The 28000-nt window shown below is 48.8% G+C and overlaps 1 long non-coding RNA gene across 1 annotated transcript, besides 5 other annotated features; it reads left to right on the top strand.

Moving 5' to 3' along the window:
* The first annotated feature begins 1 nt into the window (after nt 1).
* Nucleotides 2–27992, top strand: LOC105379182 (uncharacterized). Its single transcript, XR_948797.3, has 5 exons — nt 2–443; nt 2569–2727; nt 6658–6705; nt 24677–24814; nt 25605–27992. It is a non-coding gene; the product is annotated as an uncharacterized LOC105379182 (long non-coding RNA).
* Nucleotides 19819–20446: an enhancer, noted in NCBI's record as "H3K4me1 hESC enhancer chr5:133268859-133269486 (GRCh37/hg19 assembly coordinates)". NCBI's record gives its function as "activates a minimal SCP1, AML or CMV promoter by ChIP-STARR-seq in naive H9 embryonic stem cells {active_cell/tissue: H9 hESC(naive)}" and the evidence as "EXISTENCE:reporter gene assay evidence [ECO:0000049][PMID:30033119]".
* Nucleotides 20297–20356: an enhancer, noted in NCBI's record as "active region_23108". NCBI's record gives its function as "activates an Ori minimal core promoter by ATAC-STARR-seq in GM12878 lymphoblastoid cells {active_cell/tissue: GM12878}" and the evidence as "EXISTENCE:reporter gene assay evidence [ECO:0000049][PMID:35858748]".
* Nucleotides 22841–22920: a silencer, noted in NCBI's record as "silent region_16348". NCBI's record gives its function as "represses an Ori minimal core promoter by ATAC-STARR-seq in GM12878 lymphoblastoid cells {active_cell/tissue: GM12878}" and the evidence as "EXISTENCE:reporter gene assay evidence [ECO:0000049][PMID:35858748]".
* Nucleotides 23141–23290: an enhancer, noted in NCBI's record as "active region_23107". NCBI's record gives its function as "activates an Ori minimal core promoter by ATAC-STARR-seq in GM12878 lymphoblastoid cells {active_cell/tissue: GM12878}" and the evidence as "EXISTENCE:reporter gene assay evidence [ECO:0000049][PMID:35858748]".
* Nucleotides 24874–24923: an enhancer, noted in NCBI's record as "active region_23106". NCBI's record gives its function as "activates an Ori minimal core promoter by ATAC-STARR-seq in GM12878 lymphoblastoid cells {active_cell/tissue: GM12878}" and the evidence as "EXISTENCE:reporter gene assay evidence [ECO:0000049][PMID:35858748]".
* Nucleotides 27993–28000: the final 8 nt, after the last annotated feature.

Genomic DNA, 28000 nt, shown 5'->3' with positions numbered 1-28000 from the left:
CTTCCTCCAAATCCCAGGTTCTCATCAGAGCAGGTGCTGCCTGTTGAAGGTGAAGGAGATCACTGCCGGCACTGCTGCCGATGTTCCAGTTCTCCCCCATCCTGTGTGTGGGGTGGGGTGAGCAGGGCTGGCTTTGCCCTTTGGCCTTCTTTCAGCCTGGTTTGCTGGTGCAGCAGTTTGCCTCCCTTCTGGGTTCAGTGTGAAGCAGTTCATCCTTCCCAGCTGAAGTTCAAAAGGTTAAAAGTCTTTCGAGGACCAAATGTCTTCCAAGGGAACAGAAAAGAAGGCTGTCCTGAGGTTGTCAGTCTGGCCTGACTCAGCACAGCTTGAGCCAGGATATTTGGGGTGGTTCTCTTCAATTAGCTGGATTCTGTTTTCATTTCGACGTTAGGAGCGGAAGTTGCTGGGACAGATTCTGGAAATGGAGCCAGGGCTATTTCTGTGTAAGTACCACATGCTAACCAATTGCACCACTGGAGCTCAGAGCTGGAGCTGTTTCTGACTCACATCTCAGTAGCCGTCTGTGGTAATGGCCTGCTGTCTAGGCTGTTTAAGTGGCTCAAGGGAGCCTGATTTTGGACCAGTAAGCAGCAGCTTCTACCCCATGAGGTCTAAGCCCACCTCTCTTCTAACTCCATCCTAAAGAGTCCCAGACCCATCTGTACTAGCTGGTACCAGTGGGCACCATAGGGGCAGAAACAGCATCTGGCTTGAACCACTCTGTCATCCCAGCACGCAGCACAGGGCCTGAGTAAAAGGAATCCAGGTGTTTTGCTTTTAATGCAGTGCCTATGCCATGAGGGATTTTTTTTTTTTTTGAGATGGAGTTTAGCTCTTGTTGCCCAGGCTGGAATGCAGTGGCACGATCTCGGCTCACCACAACCTCCGCCTCCCGGGTTCAAGTAATTCCTCTGCCTCAGCCTCCCAAGTAGCTGAGATTATAGGCATGCACCACAATGCCTGGCTAATTTTGTATTTTTAGTAGAGATGGGGTTTCTCCATGTTGGTCAGGCCGGTCTCAAACTCTCGACCTCAGATGATCTGCCCGCCTCAGCCTCTCAAAGTGCTGGGATTACAGGCGTGAGCCACTGCGTCTGGCCGAGGGGTTTTTTAATCTAATGAGGCTCTAGATTAAAAAAACCCTACTCCTTACTTAGGAAGCCTTTCTCCACCTATCCTAACAGTTCCACTCTGAAACCCTATGCCTCTTTCTCTCACAACCTCAAAACTGCCTCATTTCTCTGCTGGGAAACCCAGAGATGCCATGTTCTGGGGATCCTTGACTTCCTGGATGCCTTTCTTCTCATAGGGCCCTTTGTGCTTCTCTCCCCTTGGCATGTGGATTGGACAGCACTCCCACCTGAGGAGGCCATGCTTTGCAGTGGGCCCTGCCAGAGCTAGGATGGGCCATGAAATCATACAGGCCTGGGTTGGAATCCCTCTCTGGGCCTAACCCCTAGGCTGAGCGTCCTCCCCAGGCCATTTTTCCTGACTGTTCCTTGGAAATGAGGAAGGGTCAAGGGTCTTGAGGGCTAACTCGAATGTCCTGCACCTTGCTGGGACTGAGGTCATCCTGGCCCATGTGGCACCTACCTGGTCTTCTAGGAAGACAGACCTAGGGAGAAATGGAGGGAAAGAAGGGTATGGGTTGAGGCCAGGGCTGGATGACCATAGTCTGAGCATGCTGTGCCTGTTGCAGTCTCCTACCTTATAAAATGAGTGATTGATTAGCTCGCTAGTCTGTTAGGAAGAGTAAATGGATTGATGTTTGTGGAAGGATTTTGTGCATAAGAAGGAGTTTTCACCATGTCACTGACCACAGAAGAGCCAGCTTGAGCCTCGAGTCCACCAAGGAGGGATAGCCCACAGTCCTGAGGCTGCCTTCCCTAGTCCCCTTGGGACTACCTTGAGGCACACAGCTGGTCAGAGCTGGGTTTCTCCTGAACCATCCAGGCATGCATGGTCCTATTAGGGAATAGGTGGGTCTCCTTTGGAGCCTCTCAACCCCATTCCCTGTTCTCCAGCCTCATCCTTTCCCAATAAAGAGGCCAAGGGGCCCTTCCCATCATTCCCTGGACTGTTCCCAAGAATAGACAGCAGAGAGGCAAGGGGACCGAGGACCCCAGAGAGGTGGCTACTTTTAGGCTACACGGTATGTATGCCTCAGCCTCGCCTCAGGGAGCATGGATGGAGGCAGGGCTTGGGCCGTGGAGGGTCACTCTCAGGGGTCCACACTCTACTATGACCATGGCACTGCATTAAAAGGAAAACACCTGGACTTCTTCTACTCAGGCCCTGTGCTGCGTGCTGGGAAGACAGAGTGGTTCAAGGCAAATGCTGTCTCTGCCCTTGTGGTGCCCACTGTCAGGTAGAGAAGAAAAAGAATCATAGTGAAGTGTGATGAATGCTATAGGCTGAAAACTGCATTTTACTTTTTTTTCCTTATAAAGGTAATTTAGACATTCTGATAACAGCTAACACAGGGCTTACTACGGATTGAGTATTTGCCATTTCTGTGTGTGCAACCAACCCAATAAGGCAGTTACTATTATTATCCTCATTTTACAGATAAGGAGCCAGGAGCATGGAAAGTTTAAGCAAGTTGCGCAAGGTCATGGAGCTGATGAGAGAGAGCTGGGATTTGAATTAAGGCATGGTCTGTTTCCATACTCCCTGCTCTCTATCACTAATTCCCCATAACTCTAGAAAATGAAACAGCTACAGAAGGTAAGAAAAAGAAATTATTCAAAGGTTCTCTACCCTTAGGCCCTCAACATTTGTGTGTATTCTCCTTTTTTTCTTTTAAACTTTCTTTTATTATGTTATGACATAGCACACTACAGAAAAATACATCAAACAAATGTACAGCTTAACAAATTATTATAAAGTAAACACTGTTTAGCCACTGCTCAGGTAGAGAAATAGAATTTTGCCAGCACCCCCAATCCTCACTTCCTAATTATTACCTTCAGTCTCCCCCACAAGGAATTATCATTTTGATCTTTATGGCAATTATTTTTTCACTCTGCTTTTTAGATTTACTATCTAAGCATATATGTGTAAAACCATCGTTTAGTAGGTTTTGGAATTTTAGATAAATTGCATCACACTGCATGCATTATACATGTTTGTGCTGGCTGTTTTCACTCAACATTAGATTGTGGGTTTCATCATGGTAGTTGAGTGTGTAGCATCAGTTCAGTCATTTTCATAGCTACATTGTATTCTATTATAAAAATATACTCACTGTGCTTATCTAACCCACATTTGATGGACATTTGAGTTGTTTCTAGTTTCATACTATTATGGGTGATACTGTTAGGAATATTCTTACACATGTCTTTTCTTGTTTGCAGGGGTATTTCCATCTCTGGTGGGTATATACTTGAGTGGAATTGCTGGATGTGTATGTCCAGCTTGAATAGCTAATGTCGTACAATTTTCTAAGGTGATTGGACCAATTTATATTTCTTTAAAAAATTTTTTTTGAGACGGAGTCTCACTCTATTGCCTAGGCTGGAGTGCAGTGGTGTGATATCAGCTCACGGCAACCTCCACCTCCTGGGTTCAAGCAATTCTCCTCCTTCAGCCTCCCGAGTAGCTAGGGCTACAGGTGTGTGCCACCATGCCCAGCTAATTTTTGTATTTTTATTAGAGACAGAGTTTCAGCATGTTGCCCAGGCTGGTCTCAAACTCCTGAGCCCAAGTGATCCATCCGCCTCAGCATCCCAAAGTGCTGGGATTACAGGCATGAGCCACTGCACCTGGCCCGATTTATATTTCTTCCAGCCTGTGCAAGTTCCTGTTGCTCTCTGCATCTTTGCTAACACTTGGCATTGTTAGTGTTCTTAATTTCAGCTATTCTGGTGGATATGCAGTGGCCTCTCCTTGTGGTTTGACTTTGTCTTTCCCTGATGACTAATCATATTGATAATTTTTCATGTGTTGATTGGACATTTGCATATCTTCTTTTGTGATGTGCTTGTTTAAGTCACTTGCTTATTTTTCCATTGGGGTGTTTGTCTTTTTCTTATTTGTGTGAGTTCTCTGTTCCGGATATAAGCCCTCATTAGTTCTATATGCGATAAACAGCCACTTGTATGCTGTGACTTGCCTTGTCACTTTCAGAATGGTATCTTTTCATGAACAGTTATTTTTTTTTGAGGAAATTACAGCTCTGTTTTATTGAGGTATACTTTACATACATAAATTCATAGATTTTAAACATTTAATCAGTTTTGACAACTGTATATATCTTTGTAACTGCCACCCCCAAACAAGATAAAAGATATTTCCATCACTCCAGAAAATTCCCTAGTGCCATTTTCTAGGCAATTCTTCACCCATCTTCCAGAGGTAACTACTTTCTGATTTCTATCACAATAGATTAGTTCTGCCTGTTCTAGAATTTCAGATAGATAGAATCAAAAGTGTATGTTCTTTTCTGTCTAGCTTCTTTTGGTCTATATAATATTTTTGCTTTTAATTTTTAGATTCATCTATATTGTTGAATTATCAATAGTCATTCCTTTTTATTGCTGAGATTCATCAATAACACTGAGTAGTATTCATTGAGTGAATAAACCAAAATTTGTTTATCCATTCTCCTGTTAATGGATGTTGGTGGTGTTTCCAGATATTGATCTAGCTATATATGAATTTAATATTATAAACATTTTAATATATTAATCATATATTTTAATATTTAATAATTAACATATAAAATATTATGAGTATATATAACCTTTTTACTTTGAGATAAACTGTAGATTCACATGCAGTTGGAAGAAATAATACAGGGGTCCTATGTACACTTTACCCAGGTTCTATCAATGATAACTTCTTTCTTTTTTTTTGAGATGGAGTCTCCCTCTGTCACCCAGGCTGAAGTGCAGTGGCGTGATCTCGGCTCACCGCAATCTCTGCCTCCTAGGCTCAAGTGATTCTCTTGCCTCAGCCTCCAGAGTAGCTGGGATTACAGGGGCACACCACTACTGCCCATCTAATTTTTGTATTTTTAGTAGAGACAGCGTTTCGCCATGTTGCCTTGGCTGATCTTGAACTCCTGACCTCAAGTGATCCCCCGACCTTGGCCTCCCAAAGTGCTGAGATTACAGGCGTGAGCCCCTGTGCCTGGCCTGATATAGTTTGACTCTCCAAATCTAATGTTGAAATGTGATCCTCAGTGTTGGAGATGGGGCCTGGTGGGAGATGTTTGGGTCTTGGAGGCAGGTCCCTCATGAATGGCTTGATGCCCTCCCCATGGTAATGAACGCATTCTTGCTCTGTTAGTTCATGCAAGAGCTGGTTGTTTAAAGGAGCCTGGCACCTCCTCCCACCCTTGTTCCCTCTCTTGTCATGTGATGCACCTGCTCCCCACTTGCTTTCTGCCATGATTATAAGCATCCGGAGGCCCTTACCAGAAGCAGATGCTGGCACCATGCTTCGTGTTCAGCCTGCAGAACCATAAGCCAAAGTAAAACTCTTTTCTTTATAAATTACCCAGCCTCAGGTATTCCTTTATAGCAATAGCAAACTAACACGTGGTGGGAGGGCTAGACTGGTACCAACTACTCCATCATAGCTGGAAGCAGAAGTTTCCCTCTTTCTTTCTTGATGAAGTGAAGCATGTGTTGGCAAAGATGTTGAGACAGACGCCAGGCAGAGCTAGCCACTTTCTCTGACCCTTTGTCAGGTCTCTATGAGCAGTATGGCAACTACTTGTTAGGCTCTGTAAGTGCATAGCTGTAATGTCTTGCAACCCCCTGCCTTTAGCAGACTCCAAATGAAGGAGCTTCTACTACATAAACACTGGCGTAAGATTTTCTCGGATCCTGGAAATGATTCATCTTACCGTTACCACCAGATAGAGTGTGTTCATTTCTTATTACAAATCCAGTTCTGCCTATATTAGTCTGCCCTTTTACAGTGAAAAAGTTAAGGTTGCCCTGCTGCCTGGTTGAGAGTAGTAGACCGTTTCAAAGGTCTACTGGGCTTCTTTGCTGCTGAAAGTCATTAACTCATGGGCTAGATTGTTGGCCTTGGGCCTGTAGGCAGAAAGCCATGTAGTAAACACTGTTCCAACAGCGGGAGACACACAAGGCATGTCTTTCAGCCCATTAGGAAGGAGGCATGGCCAAATGAAACACCAGCACAGGAAAGTTACCCTGAGATATGCTATGCCTATAAAGAATGTGAAGCTTGGTGTCTCACTCTGCTCTAGGAGCCCACAAGCAACTCATTCATTCAATAGACATCTAGTGATTGCCTGTACTGAGCCAGGCCCTGTGCTGAGTTTTGGGGATACAGGGCAAGGGAAAGGTTCACCAAACACATGATGCTTGGATTGGCTCCTGGGGTCAAATCTTGGTTCCAAAGAAAATTGAGAAAAAATATTGCAGTGAGCTCATCTTTTCCACGTTTGAAGAAAAGAACATACAAATCAAGTTCATATTTTGGAAAGGAACCCAGAGATTTCATTTTGGAGCTCAGGAGCATTGCTTGGAGGGGGACCCCTGGCCTTGCCTAACCCATCCACAGGCTCTCAAGAACCCAGACCCAATTGTATTTCCATAGTGGAAGATAAGAACACACTTCTATCCTTTTTGGAAGCCTGAGGACTCCTTCTGATCCTCTCCTTTTCCTCTTCTCTCCCAGAAACAGATGTCTGAGCTTGAGGACACCAATTTCACATTATAGGATCAGGTATGGCCCTTTGGGATCCATCACTGGGTTACTCTAGGGGCTGGACCCTCCCTTCTTGCCCTTCTGGCACCCATAGTCTGTGGTTGGGTTTGTGATGGGTAGAAATGTGGTAGTTCTGTTTCAGGTGCCCTGAGCAGGGAGACTGTTGGCCAGGGTGAACATTTATGGGGTCTGTATGTTCTTTGGATAAGTGAATCTACCTCCCTAAAGTCTTGATGTTTTCTCTGAAAATTCCGTTTCTGTTGAAGGGGAGGTCTCTGCAGGTTCTAAGATTCCAGAGACTTCCTAGGTTTCCAAAGATGATTTCTGGGCTTCCTTTTGTTAGTTTTATAAATATACCTCTGACTTCCTTTCTTGGTCATGTTCTTGTGAGCCCTCTGGCTTTGGGGCCTAAGGTCATGAACAAGGGAAGCAGGCAGAGCTACCTTGGTTACTGGGTCTGGTTTTTTGGGGTTCGCTTGACCACATTGGTGGATAATACCTTGAGGCCAGGTAGGATGGTGTGCCTGGACACACCCTTGACCATATCTTGTCCTGATTCCACCATCCCCTCTCTCTGCCCTCCCACCAGCTTGCAGAGTCCTTTTCTGCCTTGTATCCATTGTCACTGGCAGGATGATGATGTTCCTTCCATGGACAGGCTTAGATTTTTGAGGAAACCCAGGTGTGTGTGTGTGTGTGTGTGTGTGTGTGTGTGTGTGTGTGTGTGTTTTAAGGGAGGAAAAGTCTATGATATGATGGTCAGAATTAGTTACAATGAAATAATAAAAGTTTGTGGATTTAAAAATAAAACAATTGGGTCTGGAAAATACACTGTAGAGGAGGTTCTCTAAGTGGAAATCTGTGAATGCTGTGGCATTCTAAGTTTTCAGTTGGAAAGGGATTACTGAGTTGGGAAGCTGTATCCTGCCCTGGAAGCTAAGAAGGCAGAGGGAAGCCTGATCTGCTACCAACTGAGTGGCCATCAGAAATGGGAGCTGCAACCTTCCTGGGTGATGGTATAAGGCCTCTTTGCTCTCTCAGTAGAGCAAGTATGAATGCCAATCAATGAAGGGCACAGTGTTTTCCTCATCAGCCCTTCTGCATGAAACAAGGAAACCATTTGATAACACGCCAAGGCTCACCAGAGAGGGAGGGGACTGAGGCTTCAAAGTGATGTGTTAGATTCTTTGGGAATGTACCAGAAGGGTATAGCTTCCTGACTCAGTAATCCCATTCCAACCAGAAAACATAGCATGCCACAGAGTCCACAGATTCCAGTTAGGCCAGGGAGAAAGGGAGTCCATAATTACTTCTGATAAAAGATACATGAATAGCCGGGCACTGTGGCTCACGCCTGTTACCCCAGCACTTTGAGAAGCTGAGGCGGGTGGATCGCCTGAGGTCAGGAGTTCAAGACCAGCCTGGCCAACATGGTGAAACCCCATCTCTACTAAAAATACAAAAAATTAGTCAGGTGCGGTGGTGGGTGCCTATAATCCCAGCTACTTGGGAAGCTGAGGCTGGAGAATCGCTTTAACCCGGGAGGCGGAGGTTGCAGTGAGCAGAGATCGGGCCACTGCACTCCAGCCTGGGTGACGGAGTGTGACTCTGTCTCAAACAAACAAACAAACGAAAAGATACATGAATAAGTAGGGAAAATTCATGAAGGTGTGGCCAGTATTGGATAAATGTATCCAAAGCTTTCTGATGGACCAGATTTTAAGAAAAGGATTTTCCTGGTACATAAACTGCTCAGAGCCTCCAAGAGTTTGATTCTTTCCTTCCAGCTCTCCTGGCACAGCCAGAGGAGGGTTTTGTGTGATTGGCCCTTGAAACATTATTACAATCACTTTGTGGCCTCCTTCAGCTTATTTTTAATTACAAGGTCTATTGCATTTTTAAATTATTAACTCTGACAATTACTTATCTTGGCATTTTCTTATCTCGATGAAAATGAAAACAGCAAGGTCATGTTAGCTCACTTGAGGTTTCGGTCTGCTGCAGCTTAAATTGAGCTGAATAGATCAGCAAATGTTTGCAGTGCGGGGACCAGCTGAGGTTGCAGAGGGTCTGCTCAGGGAACACGGGCAGAAAGAACTTGGCAACACAGAGGCTAGTTCAAGGGCGTTTGGGGCCCAGGTGATCGGAGCCCGTCTGTGGAAGTGGGAGGTGCCCTTGTAGGTGATGATGGCCCATAAGCAGCTTCTTCCCCTCAAGAGCTCTGCGTACATCTCCCCTGGGATAGACAGCCAGAGGCAGAGCCCAGAAGGCGATAGCGACCCTCTGCCTCACAGTAACTTCTTTCTCTGATCTTCTGTGGTGGTCCTCACTCTATGACAACAACAGCAACTAAACGATAACAATAAGTGACTGTTACTGAGTGCTTACTGTGTGTCTAATACCTTGCCCACGACACTTGGCAAATATCCATGGATGCTGGGCACTGCAGGCCCTCATCGCCATGCTGCCTTCTGTCCAGCAGGGGGTAGTGTGACTACACCATAAAGGGGACCTCCTTCTTTACCTGGGTTCTCAGGAAAAAGCATCTTCGAGTTTCTGCTGGATGCTGGAAGGATGCTTCTGGCAGTAAGTCCAAATCTCCGACAGTGAGGGCAAAAGAAAGCATGATTATCGGCCAGGCGCGGTGGCTCACGCCTGTAATCTCAGCACTTTGGGAGGCTGAGGTGGGTGGATCACCTGAGGTCAGGAGTTCGAGACCAGCCTGACCAACATGGTGAAATCCTGTCTCTACTAAAAATACAAAAATTAGCCAGGTGTGGTGGAGCATGCCTGTAATCCCAGCTACTTGGGAGGCTAAGGCAGGAGAATTGGTTGAACCTGGGAGGCAGAGGTTGCAGTGAGCTGAGATCATACCACTGCACTCTAGCCTGGGCGACAGTGCAAGACTCCGTCTCAAAAAATAAATAAATAAATAAATAAATAAAAATAAATAAAATAAAAATAAATTAAGAAGAAAAGAAAGTACGATTGTCATAACTCCCCCAATCTCAGGGCACCTGCAGGTCCATTAGTCCCAACCTGAAGTCCTTTGTTGTTCAGTCCCCAGCTCCACTGACTCCTCCAAGGGCAAAGGGCAGGCATGAACTTGGAGAAATGGCTTCGGCCTCAGTGGACAATGCTGGTACCACGGTAGGGTCCTTGGCAACATGCCTCCTTAGAGATACACAGACGGTTCCTCAACCTGAGAGCCATTTGGTGGGAAGTACAGATGGGGTGCACCCATCCCCAGATGTGTTATATGCATTAGCTAATGGGCACTGCTGTTGAGAGACTGCTTGGCCATTTGGGGCAGCTGGCTCAGAAGGCACGTCCCTCGGATGTCTGCAGCTTCTCAGCCAGAAACCCGTGAAAAAGTTCCATCTTTCCCATAGGCTGGGAGCCAGTCACACCCTGGGTATAATGCCGAAGGAGAAGGGAGCAAGACTGCTGGTGGGACATGGTTGTCCCACAGCAAGACTGTTGGTGGGACAGGGCTCCGACTGCCCTGGCCCTCTGCAGAGCCTCCTGAGTAGGTAAGGTAGTGGCTGGCTCTCTGCTCTGGATGATTTCTGTTGACCCAGTTCTGGGAGTGGTTTCATGGCTTGGGGAAGAGCCAAGAACTTCACAGAAAGGACTACACAGAAATTCGTGACAGCCCCAGGGCCTGCTTGGGACTCTGAGGGCTGAATTTTTTTTTTTTAAATCTTGGGGAGAGAGTTTTGGTTATGGTCCCCAGCAAAGACAGCCTGGGAGATTTCTTCTACCAGCCTCCGTGAGGAGTTCAGATCCTGGGTCCCTCAGCACAGTCCACATCTGAGGCTGTAGCTGTGATGAACTTAAAAATCAATGCTGCCGCCCAACCCCTTGGCTTCAGAAGTGCCCTTGGTTCAAATGTTCAAAGCAGCCCTGAGTTATCTTCGCGGCTTCTCCAAATTCCTCCACTACTCTAGGCCCCGAGGAAGGAAAATGTTAATCCATCTCAGACTGCCAACTCCCCCAACCCCAACCCCAACCCCAACCACCCTCCTTCTGCTAGGCTGGAAACTTTGCAAACTGGAAAATGTCTGTGTGCTGGAGGCCAATGCCCCTGCTCCAGGCCTCTTGCTCCCCGACCCCAGGCCTCATCCCAAATCCAGTCCTCCCTGTAAAGTTCCAAAGCTCAAAAAGCTGCTTGCCTGTGTGCAGGCGGGCACGCGATGGTGGTGGGAAAGCACAGATGCATCTGTGGGCCTCTCCTCTGGAGAGATTTGCCTTTCACTGCCTGAGATGCAGCTGAGGAGGAAATGTTCCCTGATTCCTGACCTGGTAGATCAGCTGGGGCCATTGTGTGCTCTGGTTTATAATATTAATAGGAATACTAATAATACCTGCCATTTCTTGAGCACTTTAACTAGGTTCTTCACCAGGGTTGTTCAATTTAATTATCACAAGAGCCCTATGAGGTAGATGCTATATAGAATATAGTATATATAAAATAATATAACTTTTTTTTTGAGATGGAGTTTTGCTCTTGTTGCTCAGGTTGGAGTGCAATGGTATGATCTCGGCTCACTGCAACCTCCACCTCCTGGGTTCAAGCAGTTCTCCTGCCTCAGCCTCCCAGGTTGCTGGGATTACCAGCATAACTGGCTAATTTTGTATTTTTTGTAGAGACGGGGTTTCACCATGTTGGTCAGGCTGGTCTCAAACTCCTGACCTCAGGTGATCCACCTGCCTTGGTCTCCCAAAGTGCTGGGATTACAGGTGTGAGCCACTGCGCCTGGCCACTTTTCTTTTTTCTTTTTCTTTCTTTCTTTCTTTTTTTTTTTTTTTTTTTGAGATACTGTCTCATTCTATCACCCAGGCTGGAGTGTAGTGGTGTGATAACTGCTCACTGTAGCCTTGACCTCCTGGGCTCAAGTGATCCTCCTGCCTCAGCCCCCTTTAGTAGAGATAAGGTTTCGCTATGTTGCCCAGGCTAGGCTTGAACTCCTGAGCTCAAGCGATCTGCCCGCCTCAGCCTCCCAAAGTGTCAGGGTTACAGGCCGTGTTTTCCGAGATTCACCTGAAGACTCTAAACATGAGACAGAGGGGGTAGATGGGAAGAGAAGAAAGGGGAGGAGAGGAAGGGAAGAGACAGGGTAGGGGGTACAGAGACACACACACACACACACACACACACACACACAGAGCGAGAGAGAGAGAGGTGTGAGGCACATTTGGAGCCAACTGTGCTTCTACCAGTAGTAAGACCACTGATGCATAAGTAAGTGTTTCTTACAGATATGGGCCACGTGGGGCAAAGGGCTGGCCTCATAAACCTGCCCAGAAGGGAAAGGTGACCCTGAAGACAGATGGACCCCCAAATTCCTGGAGATTGAGGGAGGAAAGCAGCAGCCACACAGAGGAACCTGCAGCCAAGTGTTCCATTTGGGGTTCCCAAAGAATCCACAAAGCACCCATGAGGGGAGAGTTCAGGCCAGAGAAAACCCGCCTTAAATGTTAGTTGTGAGCAAAAAAAGGCAATGCTGGGTGACACCGGTAACAGTCAAATAATACCGTTCCTGCCCTCCTCCTTTTCCCACTGCACACATACCCAGTGTGGGAATCAGAATGTCTTGATGGAGGGGCACTTTGGTGGTAGCTGCTTTATCTGGAGCCTCTAGGATTGAAGTGGGTGGACAGCACACTGAACCATCCTGACAAGCACGATCTGTGGCCAGAAGCCAACTTCGGCCCCCACAATGCAGTCATGGTCCCCCCTTCACTTTCCCAGACCTAAGCCGGTTCACGTCCTGGAACCACGTGATCAACACGGTTCTTGGCCTTCTTGAGAAAGAAATCTGCAAAATGCCACAAATACATCCATATATATACTGCAAAACTACTCCTAAGCCTTGACCACTGGGATCTGCAGACACTGGATCTGAGGAATGAGGAAACAGGCAGTCCTTTTAGGGGCCGCTAGACACTAGATTTTAATTTTTGCTAATTCCTGGGAACTCAAACTACCCCCTTGGTCTACTAGTCAAAGGAAAGGTTTATGGTGGTGAGCTGATAAATGGAGTTTTGACCAAACTTCATCTCACACTGGGCCCATGGACTCACTCTTGTGATACTTCCTTAGTCTCTAGGTATCTAATTGGAATAGACATACTCTGCAATTGACAGAATCATCACATTAGCTCCCTGACCTATAGACTGAGAGCTATTATGAATTTTCCTCTTCCTGCAAGGATAGTAAGCTAAAAACAATATTGCATCCTTGGCAGGGGGTGGGGGGAGGATTTTAGAGAATAGCATCAAAATACAGGGATCCTGGAATCAAGAAGGTAAAAGTGAGCAAAGCTTCCTTCACTACTATACCTAATAACACACTCATAATTTTTGCTTCCTGACTTTGCAACTTTGGACTCAGCTAGTTTGGAAGTCTTGGTTTTCAAGGGAGAAACCAGGAAACACAACAATGACACCACAGAATTGGAAGTTTAGACTGCTACCTAGCCTCTAATGTTAGGCTGCTAACAGGCACAGATGGTGTTTACCATTTGTATTAGTTTTCGCATTGCTATATAGAAATACCTGAGGTCGGGTGCAGTGGCTTACGCCTGTAATCTCAGCACTTTGGGAGGCTGAGGTGGGTGGATCACCTGAGGTCAGGAGTTCGAGACCAGCCTGACCAACATGGTGAAATCCTGTCTCTACTAAAAATACAAAAATTAGCCAGGTGTGGTGGAGCATGCCTGTAATCCCACCTACTTGGGAGGCTGAGGCAGGAGAATCACTTGAACCTGGGAGGTGGAGGTTGCAGTGAGCCAAGATCACACCTTTGCACTCCAGCCTGGGCAACAAGGGCGAAACTCCATCTCAAAAAAAAAAAAAGAAAAGAAATACCTGAGACTGGATAACTTATAAAGAAAAGAGGTTTAATTGGCTCAGAGTTCTGCAGGCCATGCAGGAAGCATAGTGGCTTATGCTTCTTGGGAGGCCTCATGAAACTTACAATCATAGTGGAAGGCAAAGAGGAAGCAGGAATGTCTTATGTGGCTGGAGCAGGAGGAAGAGAGAGAGAGACAGAGAGAGAGAGGGGAGGAGCTACACACGCTTAAACAACCAGATCTCACGATAACTCACTCACTATCACAAGAACAGTACCAAGGGGAATGGCGCTAACCCATTCATGGGAACTTCACCCCCCATGATCCTGTTACCTCTCACCAGGCCCCACCTCCAACAGGGAGGATTACAATTCAACATGAGATTTGGGTGGGGACACAGATCCAAACCATATCACCATACTAGTGGGATGATTGATCCTGATTATCAATACATTCATTGTTTTGCTTAAGTTAGTTTGAGTTGGTTTCCTGTCCTTTGCAACAAAGATATATAGTAGGAGCTCAATAACTACTAAATTGTGAGTTAGTTTCTCTTCCATCTCTTTAGGTTGCTCCATGAATGGGCCACAGAGTAGCATGAATAATTCCCATTTTTTTCTATGGGTGAGAGGGTCCATTCTGACCCGGTTCCTGACTACACCTGGAAATGGAGTCCACTCTGAGGTGGGGTGGGGGCAAAGGGGAGTGCAACCTGGAGAGAGCAGCAGAGAATGGAAACAAACTTTGGTTGTTTTTTAAAACATGAAAAAAAATGTAGCAATTTCACTTCATGTTTAGTATCACTTTACATTTTATTCCTCTCCCCAAACACTCTCAGGGCCTCTGAAAGTTTCTGCAGTGCACAATTTGAAATTGCTTCTTTGTTTCATAACTCCAGGGATAGCTTGAGGTAAGAGTCAGAGCTCTAAAGGAAGTCACCTTTGTGCCCCCGCTTCTCTTTGTTACAATGCCCAGTGATGCTTACTTAATGGGTCGGAAATGAGGTCTCAGGTGTTTATGTCAGAGCTTTGAGAATCTTATCTGGTGGTGCAACTTTCACTCAAAATTAATGTGCTGCATGGTGAGGGGGATGAATAAACTCGTTAGGAGAGTGAACAGATTTCCTCATTGTCACCTAACAGCATTCATTGTTTGTGTGCTTAGAATAATGTCTTTTCTACAAACCAAATGGGAAAATGCCCTAATGTATTTCCCTGAATTTGGCCTGCCACTATTGTAAATTACCTTGCTTAATGGACTTTGATATTCTGTTATCTATTTGGAAACTTCTGAGCTCCTGGAGAACCAAATCAAGTGTCTTAGTCCCAGGAAGGGAAGGCAGGCTTAGAAGATTTACAGCTCTGTGAACATCATTATTGATGTTTGTTGTGTTTTGCAAACAACTTTCCTGTGGAATAAGTGCTTATGATGATGCTGCGGGCAGTTTTTCTGATAAGTCGCCCTGAAATAATGACTACCAGGGACCATAAATTCCCTTTGGAAATCAACATTCCAGGAAGGTATTTGGCAATTATTTCAACCCCACCCCCACCCCCACCTCAGCTGCTCGTGGGAACCCTGCCAAGTTCCTCAGCAACCTTCAGGGTATTTACTAAGGTCGCTAAAATAATCATAACAACAACAACTCCAACAACTCCAACTCACTCCAACTCCAACAGCACACATTTGTAGCTTACAGAGGGGTTCACAGACCTTATCTCACTGAAGAAATGCGGAAGTTGAGGCCCAGGGACACCAGCCAGTAGTGAGGGCTGCTGGAAACAGGGCAGGGCCCACTGTCTCTACTCTGTACTTCTGTGTTGGTTAATTTTATGTGTTGACTTGACTGGGCCACATGCCACCCAGATATTTGGTTAGACATTATTCCGAGTGCTTCTGTGAGGGTGTTTTTGGATGAGAATAACTTTTCTTATTTTTTGTTACTATTTTTTTCAAGAGTCAGAGTCTTGCTTTGTCACCCAGGTTGGAGTGCAGTGGCATGATCACAGCTCACTGCAGCCTGAAACTCCTGGGCTCAGGTGATCCTCCTTCCTCAGCTTCCCAAACAGCTAGGACTACAGATGTGCATCACCACATCAAACAAAGTTTTTATTTTTATTTTTCTAGAGATGAGGTCTTGCTGTGTTACCCAGACTGGCCTTGTTCTTTTTGAGATAGGATCTCGCTCCATTGCCCAGCCTCCAGGCTGGAGTGCAGTGGTGCGATCTCAGCTGACTGCAACCTCTGCCTCCCAGGCTCAAGTGATCCTCCCACCTCAGCCTCTGAGTAGCTGGGACTACAGGTACGTGCCACCATGCCTGGCTAATTTTTGTATTTTTTGCAGAGATGTAAGTTTCATCATGTTGCCCAAGCTGGTCTTGAACTCCTGGACTCAAGTGATCCACCTGCCTCAGACTCCCAAAATGCTGGGATTACAGGCATGTGCCACCACACCTTGCTGAGAATAACATTTAAGTAGTAGACAGAGTAAAGCAGGTTATCTTTTTTAACGTGGTTGGGCCTTATCCAATTAGTTGAAGGCCTGAATAAAACAAAAACGCTGACCCTCCCCCAATTAAGAATTCTTCTGCCTGATGGCCTGTGAACTGGAACATAGGCTTTTCCTGGTTCCACAGCGACTTCTGGCCTTTGGGCTTAAACTAGGACATCAGCTCTACAGATTTTGGATTTGCCGGACCCCATAATCATGTGAGCCAATTCCTTAGAAGTCTCTCTCTCTCTCAATCTGTCTGCCATCTCTCAGTAGCCATGTTCACAAACTCTTTATGTGTATATATGGCTGCTATTGGTTCTGTTTCTCTGGAGGACTCTGACTAGTACAGCCACTCATCTCATGTCATTAAACAATGTACCCCCACTGGCCCCCCTTGCCAGTCCCTGAGCTGAGGTGCAGGCTTGAGTGAGGGAGACAAAAGGCTAAGATTGCTTGTGAGAGTAAAGTGTTTTTAGATTTTTAAAAATTTAAATTGTGGTAAAATACAGATAAAAATTTACCCTACTGATCATTTTTTTAAGTGTATAGCTCAGTAGGATAATATATTCACAGTGCTGTATAAAGTTTTGATTTTAGCTGGACTAGATAAGACTCTTTAATACCTGAAGATAACATCATCCTTAGAGCCAAAAGTGACCCCAAATTATGGGATTTTCAGGGAGAGGAAAAAAACAAAAAAAAGCTCTTGCCTGTTTGCCTCGTGGAGCTGAGGCCTTTCTCTAAACCATGGTGGGAGCCAGCTGTAGAGCTGTGATAACAGCAAGGTCATGAGGAGCCACAGAACCGGAGGAGGGGCCACAGAACTGGAGGAGGAGACACAGAACCAGAGGAGGGGCCACAGAACCGGAGGAGGGGCCACAGAACCAGAGGAGGGGCCACAGAACCAGAGGAGGGGCCACAGAACCGGACGAAGAGCCACTGAACCGAAGGAGGAGCCACAGAACCAGGGGAGGAGCCACAGAACGAGAGGAGGAGCCACAGAACCAGAGGAGGAGTCACAGAACCAGAGGAGGAGCCACAGAACCAGAAGAGGAGCCACAGAACTGGAGGAGGAGCCACAGAACCAGAGGAGGAGTCACAGAACTGGAGGAGGAGCCACAGAACCGGAGGAGGAGACACAGAACCGGACAAAGAGCCACTGAACCGAAGGAGGAGCCACAGAACCAGGGGAGGAGCCACAGAACCAGAGGAGGAGCCACAGAACCAGGGGAGGAGCCACAGAACCAGAGGAGGAGCCACAGAACCAGGGGAGGAGCCACAGAACCAGAGGAGGAGGCACAGAACTGGAGGAGGAGCCACAGAACCAGAGGAGGAGACACAGAACCGGATGAAGAGCCACTGAACTGAAGGAGGAGCCACAGAACTGGAGGAGGAGCCACAGAACTGGAGGAGGAGCCACAGAACAAGAGGAGGAGCCACAGAACCAGAGGAGGAGTCACAGAACCAGAGGAGGAGCCACAGAACTGGAGGAGGAGCCACAGAACCAGAGGAGGAGTCACAGAACCGGATGAAGAGACACTGAACCGAAGGAGGAGCCACAGAACCAGGGGAGGAGCCACAGAACGAGAGGAGGAGCCACAGAACCAGAGGAGGAGTCACAGAACCAGAGGAGGAGCCACAGAACTGGACGAGGGGCCACAGAACCTGATGAGGGGGCCACAGAACCGGAGCAGGGGCCACAGAACCCGGGAGGGGAGCCACAGAACCAGAGGAGGAGCCACAGAACCAGAGGAGGAGCCACAGAACCGGGGGAGGAGCCCAGAACCAGGGGAGGAGCCACAGTACTGGAGGAGGAGCCACAGAATCAGTGGGGGTTTGGGGAGGAGGGGTCATCCTGGCTGAATGTTGAAGAATGGTGGGATCTGAACAACTGAAGATGGGGAGGGCGAGGGGCCTGAGGTGGCCAGTGCAGAGAACAGCCTGAGTGCAGGCCAGTCTCAGCACATACACCTGCCACCCTGCTGCCAGGATGGTGGGCATGTGTCCTCGGACCACAGCCACCTTGATGACCATACACATTCCTGTTGCCTCTGCAGTCCTAGCTGGTTCTCTAGCAGCTCTATAATTCTGGAGGAGCAGTGTGCCCATCCCCTACTCCCTCTGAGCTTCCTCTCCACGCCTGAGAGGCATTTTATAAATAGCCTGTTGACAAAACCTTAAATATAATACCCCTGGGAGCTAAATTACCCAGTGGCACAGCTGTAAGTATGTAAGGGCCATCGGGGTGTGACCAGTGGGGCTGGCACATGCAGGGAGGGGCAGAGCATGGCGCTTTGCTCCTGGTCCATGTCCTGAGCATGACCAGGACTGGCCTGAAGGAGTGGGATAGGAGCTGTCTAAACAGAGAGCCCTTCCTCAGGGTCCTCTGTCCTGACCAGCTTCTTCTCTGAGACCATGAAAGAACAGAGCACATGGCTGGGGGCAGTTTGGGGAGGAGCCAGCCTCTGGGGTCAGGCCTGGGACCCTGCACCAGGATTCCACCTGAAGCAATTCAGCCTTAAGTAGTGGTCTGCATCCCAGGCCTGGGGGATCTGACTTCAGCCTGCTGGCCGCCCCCACTCACCACATTGTGGCCACAGGAGCCTTCTTCCATGACTTCATATGCATGAAACCCAGGTTCCCTGTGGGGTCCCTTGCCTGCCAGGACCCCACAGGACCTCCTTTTCTTACTCTTTTGACCAGCTTCTTCTATCTGCCCCTCAAATCCCAACCAAAATTGTGCAGATGGGCTTTCCCCTATCATTCCATCCCTGGCTTGGATGAAATCAGAGCCCCTGGTGTACACTCCTGTGTCCCTCAAATTCTAATAGTTATTATATACTCATTGTTGAGTATCATTGTCATTGCTGGCTGAATGCCTGCCATCATTGAAAGCTCTGAGGACAGGGCACTGTCTGGCTGTTGCTCCCTGTATCCCTAGCACTTAGCATGGGGCCTGGCACACCGTGGGTGTGCAGGGAGTGTGACTGAATGAAAGACGGAAACTTTAGCAGAGCCCACACCTCTTTAAAACTAGAAGCACCCATACTCCAACAGCTGAGACCTCCCTTCACCTCTCTGGAAACATCTGGCAAGCTCCACAACTCAGTCCAGCTGAAGGAAGTGGAAGGGCCAGCCAGACCTTGCGCCAGGGTGTCCTGAGGACATACAGCTGGGAGCACTGGGCTGTGATCTTTAGCCAGGCAGGAGTGGGATGGCAGGAGAGGCGGTGCCTGCCCTGCAGGATCCTGGTTGGTGCCATCGTGTCAGTCACCCGGAGTGGGCCACAGGGGACAGAGAGGCCACCTTACACTCTACAAGGCAGGTTGTGGAGAGGTGAGGCCTTCGTGGGCAAGGGCAACTGGGCAGTGTGGTCTGTTAGGGTGTCGGGAGTGTCAGGTGGGGAGGCAAAGCTCCAGGCTGTGTCAGGATGTCAGGAGACACAGAGGTGAGGCCACAGCGAAGGTACAGGACTCGCCGCAGTTCCTGCATCATGAAGCCCTTCCTGACGAGTCCAGGCTTTGCTGACCACACCAGCAGCGTTAAAGTGAAGACCTGGTCATGCAGATCTGGAAGGTTGGCGCCCCTAGGACAAGCCACAACCCAGCAGGTCCCAGGTGGGAGGGAGAGGGTTAGGCAGCAGTGAGCAGTTGGGCCCACCTGGGACCACAAGGTCCCCACAGGCTTTCAGGGCTCAGATGTGTGAGCGGGGGTGGGAGCGGAGGGGAGAGGCAGTGGAGGAGGGTACAGGGAGAGAGAAAGATGGGTGGGAGGAGAAAGTGGGGATGAGGAGGAGGAAGGGAAGTGGATAGAGAAGGAGGAGGGAGGAGCAGGGAAAGAAGAGGAATGAAGGAAGGGGTGAGGAGGGAGGGGAGCCCTGGCCGCATGGTCGTTGGGCAGGCCTGGTGCAGGCAGTGTGGCCCACATGCTGCCCCTCCAGACACGGGGCTCAGCCTGGTGGCCGGGGGCAGGGAGCCTCCTGGCCTAAGCCTCACATTCACAATTGCCTCTTTATATTTAGATGTTGGGGATGGTTCCAAGTGAGGTTTTAATGTTAGGAGCAGTTATTTGTTAAATGTAAGCATTTAAAACCTGCCACAGGATTTATATCCGCATCTTGGTATGTCTTTGGTTTTTAATCTATAAGAGGCCTGATAAAGTAAGTGGATGTGGTCCAGACCTCTGGGCCTGGGGCAGCCCCATGGGGAAAGCCTTTCTCGGGAATAGAGCCTCAGGCTGAGGGAGCCCTAGGCCCAGTTCCCACTTGTACACATTGCTGGATGTCTTACCTCACTGGCTCTGCAAGCCCTGGCCAGCCACCAAGCCTCCCCACCACTGGGAGAACTTAAGGTGCTTTAATCAATTCTTTTTCACCCCATTAGTGCGGGAGGATGTCACCCTATGGTTACGGGATGCGTGAACACTTGACACCCAGCACTGGACAGATATGTTGACAGCAGTTTATCAGTCATATATGCTCACAGCCCCAGGGAGGACTCAGCACTCCACACCAGCCACAGGGGAGTCACACTCAGGAGCAATGTGAACCACCTGGGGCTGTGGAAGCAGGCTTTGTAGTACCAAGAGGGCGAGGTGCCCCTGCTGCCCATGGGAGGACGTGGTTGACTTGGCTGAATAGTTCTGAGGGCTGGCAGGGAACTGAAACTCAGAGAGAAGCAGGAACTGCATCTGGTCTCCCGGATAAGGAGGTTGTCTGGCCAGAGGACCTTATCCACAGGAACAGAGGTGGAGGGGGAACTTGTGGTTAGACCATCCGAGGCCCTCCCAATTTTACCAGTTGTCACGGTGGCACATAGTAGGCCTTCATTTTAGGCCTTATAGCACAAATGAGCTAATGGGCTTAGAGCTCCTGCTTCAAGTGCAGGGCAGAGGAAGAAGGCTGGAGCTGGAGCAGATGGCGGCATGGTCAAGGGCTCAGTGAGAGCTCGGGAGAGGCTGTTGGGGACTGCGAGGGCCCCAGGAGGTCGCCCAGGAAGACACGTTAAAGCTCTCTGGCACATTCTTGCCCCTGCTGTGCTTAAACCAAATCAAACTTATTCCTGGTAGAGGACCATTCCATTTTTCTGATCTGATGGAGAAGAAATACGTTGAATTGAATGAAGATACACTGAATGTCTTCAGGCCAGTAGTCTCAAGGTCCAGCCACCAAGAGGGCAAACTGACCTTGACAGGTGCAGGATCAGGGTCCTGGGATGTGGGAAGCCCTAGAGTATCTTCCGTCCCCCTTCTCCCCTCGAAACCCTAGATCTGGGCTCATGGATGGACTTGGGGAGTCATCAGAAAGATGGAGACAGGCTGGGCACGGTGGCTCATGCCTGTAATCCCAGCACTTTGGGAGGCGGAGGTGGGCGGATCTCTTGAGGTCAGGAGTTTGAGACCAGCCTGGCCAACATGGTGAAACCCCATCTCTACTAAAAGTGCAAAAAATTAGCAGGGTGTGGTGGCGCATGCCTGTAATTCCAGCTACTCAGGAAGCTGAGGCAGAAGAACTACTTGAACCCGGGAGGCGGAGGCTGCAGTGAGCCGAGATCGCGCCACTGCACTCCAGCCTGGGTGACAGAGCAAGACTCTGCAAAAAAAAAAAAAAAAAAAAAAAAAAGAAAGAAAGATGGAGATGTGGCCCAGGGCCACACATTCCAGATCTCCATGGTTTCCTTTGGAGTCATTGTCTCCATCTTTGCAGACTGACAGGTCAAACCCTCCAGTGTGCCCTTAACCGCAGCAGTCTCTGTATCCTCCTTCCACTTGGGCTTCGCTACTCCTCTGAGCCCAGTGCCAGACTCAGGGGCTGCACAGGACCCCACCCTTGCTTTCCTGGCCCTCACGCTGTGGTTCCCTCGGCCTTTCCACAACGCTTCCTGATTCTGTAGGTGCTGGAGCTTCTTCCTGCAGTGGTCAGTGGTCCATTGTCCTTGTCACACTTTTCTGACCCCAGTGAGGGGACAGTGTATTTGGATATGAATCTGTTTTGGTCTCACTGCAAGATTTGGGACACTTTTCCTAAAGTTGGGAAGGGGCTGGTGGTTCAGTGTGCAGGTTTCGCAAGCAATAGAGAATGGTACACCTGGCCTAGGCACTTGCTAAGACCTGGCAGGACCTCAGGGGGGTATCTGGCAGAGGCCCACCCTTGCTGTCACATCAGGGGTGATGTGAGACTCTTCCCTGAATGTTCTGCTGTGTACAGGACCCCCAAGAATATTGCATGACCCTAGGGAGGGAAAGAGGCCTCACTAAAACCTGACCAATGCTGGCTTTCTCATCAGCCTTGGAAAGTGGCTCATGAAACACCACCTACTCATTTTTCCCCCTAACTATAAAAGCAATTCGTCTTAGAAAATTTAGAAAATATGGAAGAATGCAAAGACGACCAGACTTACCCAGAACCCCACCACCCAGGAGGAAGCACTATTGCCATTCGGGTCTCTTTCCCTCCAGTCATGATTTTGCCTGTTTAGTGATGAATATATGCAGTTTACAGGATGAGGGTTCCACTGTAGAGAGAGTTCTGTTTGCTGCCTTTTGTTTAATAGCTGCACAATATTCTCCTGCATGGATCTGCTATCATACATTTCCCCTTTTTTGGGCTATTTGGGTTGTTTCCAGTTTTTTTTTTTTTTTTTTTTTTTTGCTATTATTAGTAATGCTGCTGGAAACGTCCTTGCATATTGGTCTTTATGTATGTCTCTGATAACGTGATTTGTCACGAGTCACTGTGCAAAGACCCAGCTTGGGTATAAGGAGGTGTCCCAACCCAGAGCTCCAAAGTTAGACACAAACACCCATTTTCAGAGCTCTTGTCCCTTTAGCGAGGGTGTAGTGTGCGCCAGATTAGAGCTAACCTTCTCTTTACCTGCCTGAATTACCTGCCTGAAGGGTTCAAGTCTTCCCCACAACCCTTTAAGGTGACAGTATTTCTGCCCCTGGTTGACAGACAAGGGAACTGAGGCACAGATAGAGGCTAACTACTTGCCCAAGATCCCATAGTCAGTGGCAATGCTGGAACTTAAAACAAACAAAAGCAAACCACCCACCGCAGTGCAGGGACGGCGGCTCTGACACAAACGTAAATCATATCGTCACTAGCTGACTCCCACATGCCCGTTCGCGTTTTCACTTTCTCTGCTGCTTGGGTTTTCCACACCCCATCTTCCGGGTGGGTGTCTGAACACTTCCAATTCAGGACTGTTGAGCCTGACACTTCCTCTGCATTCGCTTGGCTCAAAGCTCCTGTCCACCTCCATCCACCACATCTGAAACTTTGAGAAGGGAGCTTCAAAATGTCATTGGAGCTGGAACAGCACATTTGCTGGTGGGGGACCCTGCTGTGACTCACTGCTGGGCTCAGAGCCACTGGAAACATTTCTCTTGGTAAGGAGGCCAATGTGGCCAGCAGAGCTTTACAGGCCCAAGGCCCTGCCTGAGCTACCTCAGAAGAGAGGAGGCACCGTGTAGTGCTTCCAGAACGCCTCCCACGGTCTCTCAGCGGAGTGGGGACCCACGGATGTGCTGAGGAGAGAGATCCAGACTGTGGGTGACACATGCAAATGCCCAGTTGCCACATACGCTGGACTCTTCCCAGTTCCAGGAGCCTGCAAAGCTCCTGAGCCTGTCTTTCCAGAATGTTCTTCCAGCCAAAGTCTAAGGTGCTGATGAGGAAAAAGCAGAGTAAGACTGTGATGATGCTGGAGAATGTGTACCCATACTGGAGGCAGTATGGGGACTGTCGTGGGTTGACCTGTGCCATCCAAAAGACATGTTACAGTCTTAGCCCCATTATTTCAGAATGTGACTTTATTTGAAAATAGGGTCTTTACAGATGAGGTTTGTTAAAATAAGGTAACACTGGATTAGGGTGGGCCCTAAATCAACGGCTGGTGTCCTTATAAGAAGGCCATGTGACAATGGAGGTGGAGATTGGTGAGATCCAGAAGCGAGGAGACGCAGGGAATTGATTCTACCTGGAGCCTTCAGAGGGAACATGGTTCTGCAGATACTGTGATTTTGGACTTGGCCTCCAGAACTGAGAGAATACCTTTCTTTTGTTTAAAGCCACCCAGGTTATGAACACTAATATAGGGGGTGAATTGGAGGGCTTGGCCCACCCGGAGGCACTAGATTCCATTCCTAGAGGCTGGAACGATGTCCTCAAAAGAGGAAGGAAGGGTTAGGACAGGATTTTCAATCCAAAAGTCCAAGTAGAAGGAAACATATTCGAAGCTTGGCCCTTAAGTCTGTGATCTTGGCCTTCTCAATGGTCTGTCCCTGGGGCCTCCCCAGTTTGGTCAGGCTCTGGGGCCTGTGTGGGCCCGACAGTGCATATCCTCTGTGTGAGGACTGGTCTGGCTGAGAAGTTTCTGTGTGTTATGGGATCAAAACTGAGATTGGACTTTGTACGTCCAAGCCAGAAAGTAGAAAGTGATTTCCTTTAAATCATCTTAAAAAGTTTCTGACTAGAATTTTAAGTCTGTTTATCAGCACAAGGGACTCTATATCACTCTCTACCACCCCCTATTTCTCTATTTTAACTGGAAGATAAAAATAGTTAATCAGAGAGTCAGAGTTGAATGGGGAAAGTACCTGATTCTCACATTCTTTCCTTTTTCTCTCATTCACAAAGTGAATTTGGAGATAGGGAGCAGCTGGCTGAGGGAGGAGCGCCCCAGCATCTGTATTGATGGAGAAGAAACCCGGCTGGGTCCATGGGGACCCACAGCTGCCACCATCAAAGCCTCATCCAGCATAGGCCGGAGCAAGGGTAAAAGCTTATTTGCGGGGAGCTGAACTTCCCCTTCCCCAAAGCCAGACAGCAACCTGAGTGACCCGGTTCAGAGTGGAAGCCTGAATCCTCCCCTCCTTTCTCTTATTTGTCATTATTTAAAAATCCTTCAGTCCCCTTCAGGGCTCAGATCTTATTGCTGTTGATTCCCGCCCCCTCCCCCTTTTTTTTTTTGAGACAGGGTCTCACTCTGTCACCCAGGCTGGAGTGCAGTGGCATGATCTCAGCTCACTGCAACTCTGCCTCCTGGGTTCAAGCTTTTCCCACCTCAGCCTCCCGAGTCGCTGGGATTACAGGCACGTGCCACCATGCCCAGCTAATTTTTTGTATTTTTAGTAGAGATGAGGTTTCACTATGTTGGACAGGCTGGTCTTGAACTCCTGACCTCAGGTGATCCACCCACCTCGGCCTCTCAAGGTGCTGGGATTACAAGCATGAGCCACCACGCCTGGCCCCCGATGTCCATTTTTTATGCAAATGGTTGTTTATTATGTCTGCTCACAGCCCCAGGAGGACAGGGATTTTGTTCCTTTTGTTCACTGCTGTGTCCTCAGTGCGTAGAATGTGCTTGGCGCATAGTGGGTGCTCAGAAAATATTTATCGAATCAATTAATCTGAAAAAGATTGCTGCTTTGCGGAGACACGTGCTGACTGTAATCTCAAATCCACGTGGAAGGAGACAGAGAGGGAGGGCACACACTTTTTTCCTTGAAAGTGAAGAAGAATCCAAACCACATATTCACAGTGCCTGTGCCTGTAATTTCTCCAGAATACCTTTACAGGTATAAAGTGCTGGAGTCGGCGTTATGATCACCGTGTCACTGATGGGAAACGGAGCCTGCGTGGAGTGAAATAACTTGCTCATAGTGACACAGCACTGGGCCAGGAACCCTGCTGTCCTGCCTGGAGTCCATGTCCCATGCCCTGGATCAGTGTGGACTGTAAAAGTGGTATTTATTAATTTATATTTGAATCATGGCATTGAAAAAGAAAACCGGCTGATCCAGCATTTTCCAAAATGTATCCTAAGACTCTAGGTCCTCAAGATCCTTTGTGAAAAATCTGCAAACTTTTGTTCCTCCCACAGAGGATGTAGGGGAAGGATCTATCAGGATCCTGATAGATCCACACACATCTATCAGGATCTCTAAGTCCTACAGGAAGGGGGCCCATTTAACTTCATCGAGTCCTGTGTTTTCCTCTGGTTTTGAACTTTAGGAGGCCGCCCCCTTCCCTCCCTTTCTCCCTCCTTCTTTCCTTTCTAGTAGTAAACATCCTGCAGTGGGAAATTTGGATGCCATCCAATTCCTTGGTATCTTCCTTACAAGGAAGACCCTCATTCACCATTTTCAGACGATGGCATGGAGGGGAGAAGGGCCTAGGGCTGAAACCTCACTGCTAAAGACTCAGGCCTGGCAACAAAACCCTCCTGGGCTCTTGTGCTGGCTGGTCCTCTTGGGAAGGATGGCTGGGCTCTAGAGGGGTGGGTGCCTGGGGTGTCGCTAGCAGGATGGGCGTTCTGGGGGAAGGAGCCAACTCCCATAGCTGGCAGCTGCCCTCCTGGAGCTGAGTGGAACAGTCTGTGGTTAATTATTTGCTTCTCCTGAACAGCGCTGCCTACCCCGACCCGCAGCTCCCTGAGCCTGATTACATTACCCCTTCCAGGCAGATTTATCTCAAACTTGTTTGATGCCTCTCCAAAGAGCTCCATCTGGTTCCCTCACTATTCCTGACAGGTGGCTAACACAGCTCTCTGAAGCCCCCCAAACACCAGGAAGCATCTTCTACAGAACTGACTTGGCTGTTATGTCACATTGCTGTCTCCCCATCGTGTATTTGCTACAACCACAGACATTTGTATGGAAATGGAATCAGTGTTTGTAAGGGCTCATCTGCTCAGGCTGCCTTGTGAGCAGGCACTGGGGGACAATCTGCCCAGCCAGCACCCACCCACGTGGCTCCGAGGCTCCTCAGGCAGGACTTCTCTAGCCTCTGAGGGTAGGGGACACCATTGGGCTGGGATTTATGACCCGGGTGAGCCTTCCTGGGCCACAGGAGCATCTGCTTCAACACTGCAGCAACGTCTCTCCATCTCTTAGCCTATGTCCAGAGTGGGGCTGTCCCTCGCCGGGCTGCGGGCTGTGCTGTGGAGCGCTTGGCCAGAGGGTGGGACCCTGCTGTGCCAGGAACAGTGGTGGGGAGGCCTGGGGCCACAGACTGTAACGGAGGCACAGAGGAGCCATGTGCGGCACATCAAGAGAGGAGTTAGGCACGAGTGCACCTTTTTCCATCCAGATACACCCTACAGGAGCGTGGACTCAGCGTTTACAGAGCACTTTCACCTCCCTTCAGAGTTTTTCTTCAGGACGGGAGTTACCGAGTAAATGCCTGTGTCCTCACCAGAGTCATCTGTTAGAGGCTAACCGCCAATGCCAAGGCATTAGGAAGTGGAGCCTGTGGGAGGTGATGAGGGTTGAGGGGAGGGCATGTGAGTGGGGCCCTCCTGATGGGATTAGCGCCCTTGTAAGGAGAGGAAGAGACACCAGAGCTTCCTCTCTCCGCCATGTGAGGACCCAGCAAGAAGGCAGCAGCCTGCAAACCAGGAAGAGGGCCTCCTCAGAACTTGGCCATGCTGGCAGCCTCCTCGGAGTCCCAGCCTCCACAGCTGGGAGAAACAAGCGTCTGTTGTTTAAGCCCCCAGGCTGTGGTGTTTTTTTACAGCAGCCTGAGCTGACTAAGACAATGTGAGAGTTCAGCTTGCAGGAAGCGGAGGTTCATCGGCTCCAGGTCACACAGTCTGGTCCTGCAGCTCCAAATTCCAAACCCCTTGCTCAGTACCAGTGGGTCAGGGTCGGAGAATTCCAAGGAAGGCCAGGCTGGGGAGGGGCCCCTGAGGGTGGGGATGGGGGCAGTCCACCCTGGAGATGGAGTCCTACTCTGCCACATGGTTCAGAGCAGGCCCTGCCTTGGGGACCCTCCCCTCCATCCCTTTCAGGCTGTATGGTTTGGGGGCCCTCTACCTATACCAACCCACCTTCGGGAGTGCATTAGACCTAGGCCTGGCCAAGCCAGTAAACGCCTATTGAGCACCTTCTACATGGCAGGTGCTGTCCAAGTGCCTGGGAAATAGCAGTGAATAAAACAGGCAAAAATCCCATGCTGTGG

The sequence above is a fragment of the Homo sapiens genome, chromosome 5 (genome assembly GCF_000001405.40).
Source record: "Homo sapiens chromosome 5, GRCh38.p14 Primary Assembly".
NCBI classification, from domain to species: Eukaryota; Metazoa; Chordata; class Mammalia; order Primates; family Hominidae; genus Homo; species Homo sapiens.
The sequence above is the reverse complement of the archived record's forward strand: the minus strand, read 5'-3'. Positions and strand labels throughout refer to the sequence as shown.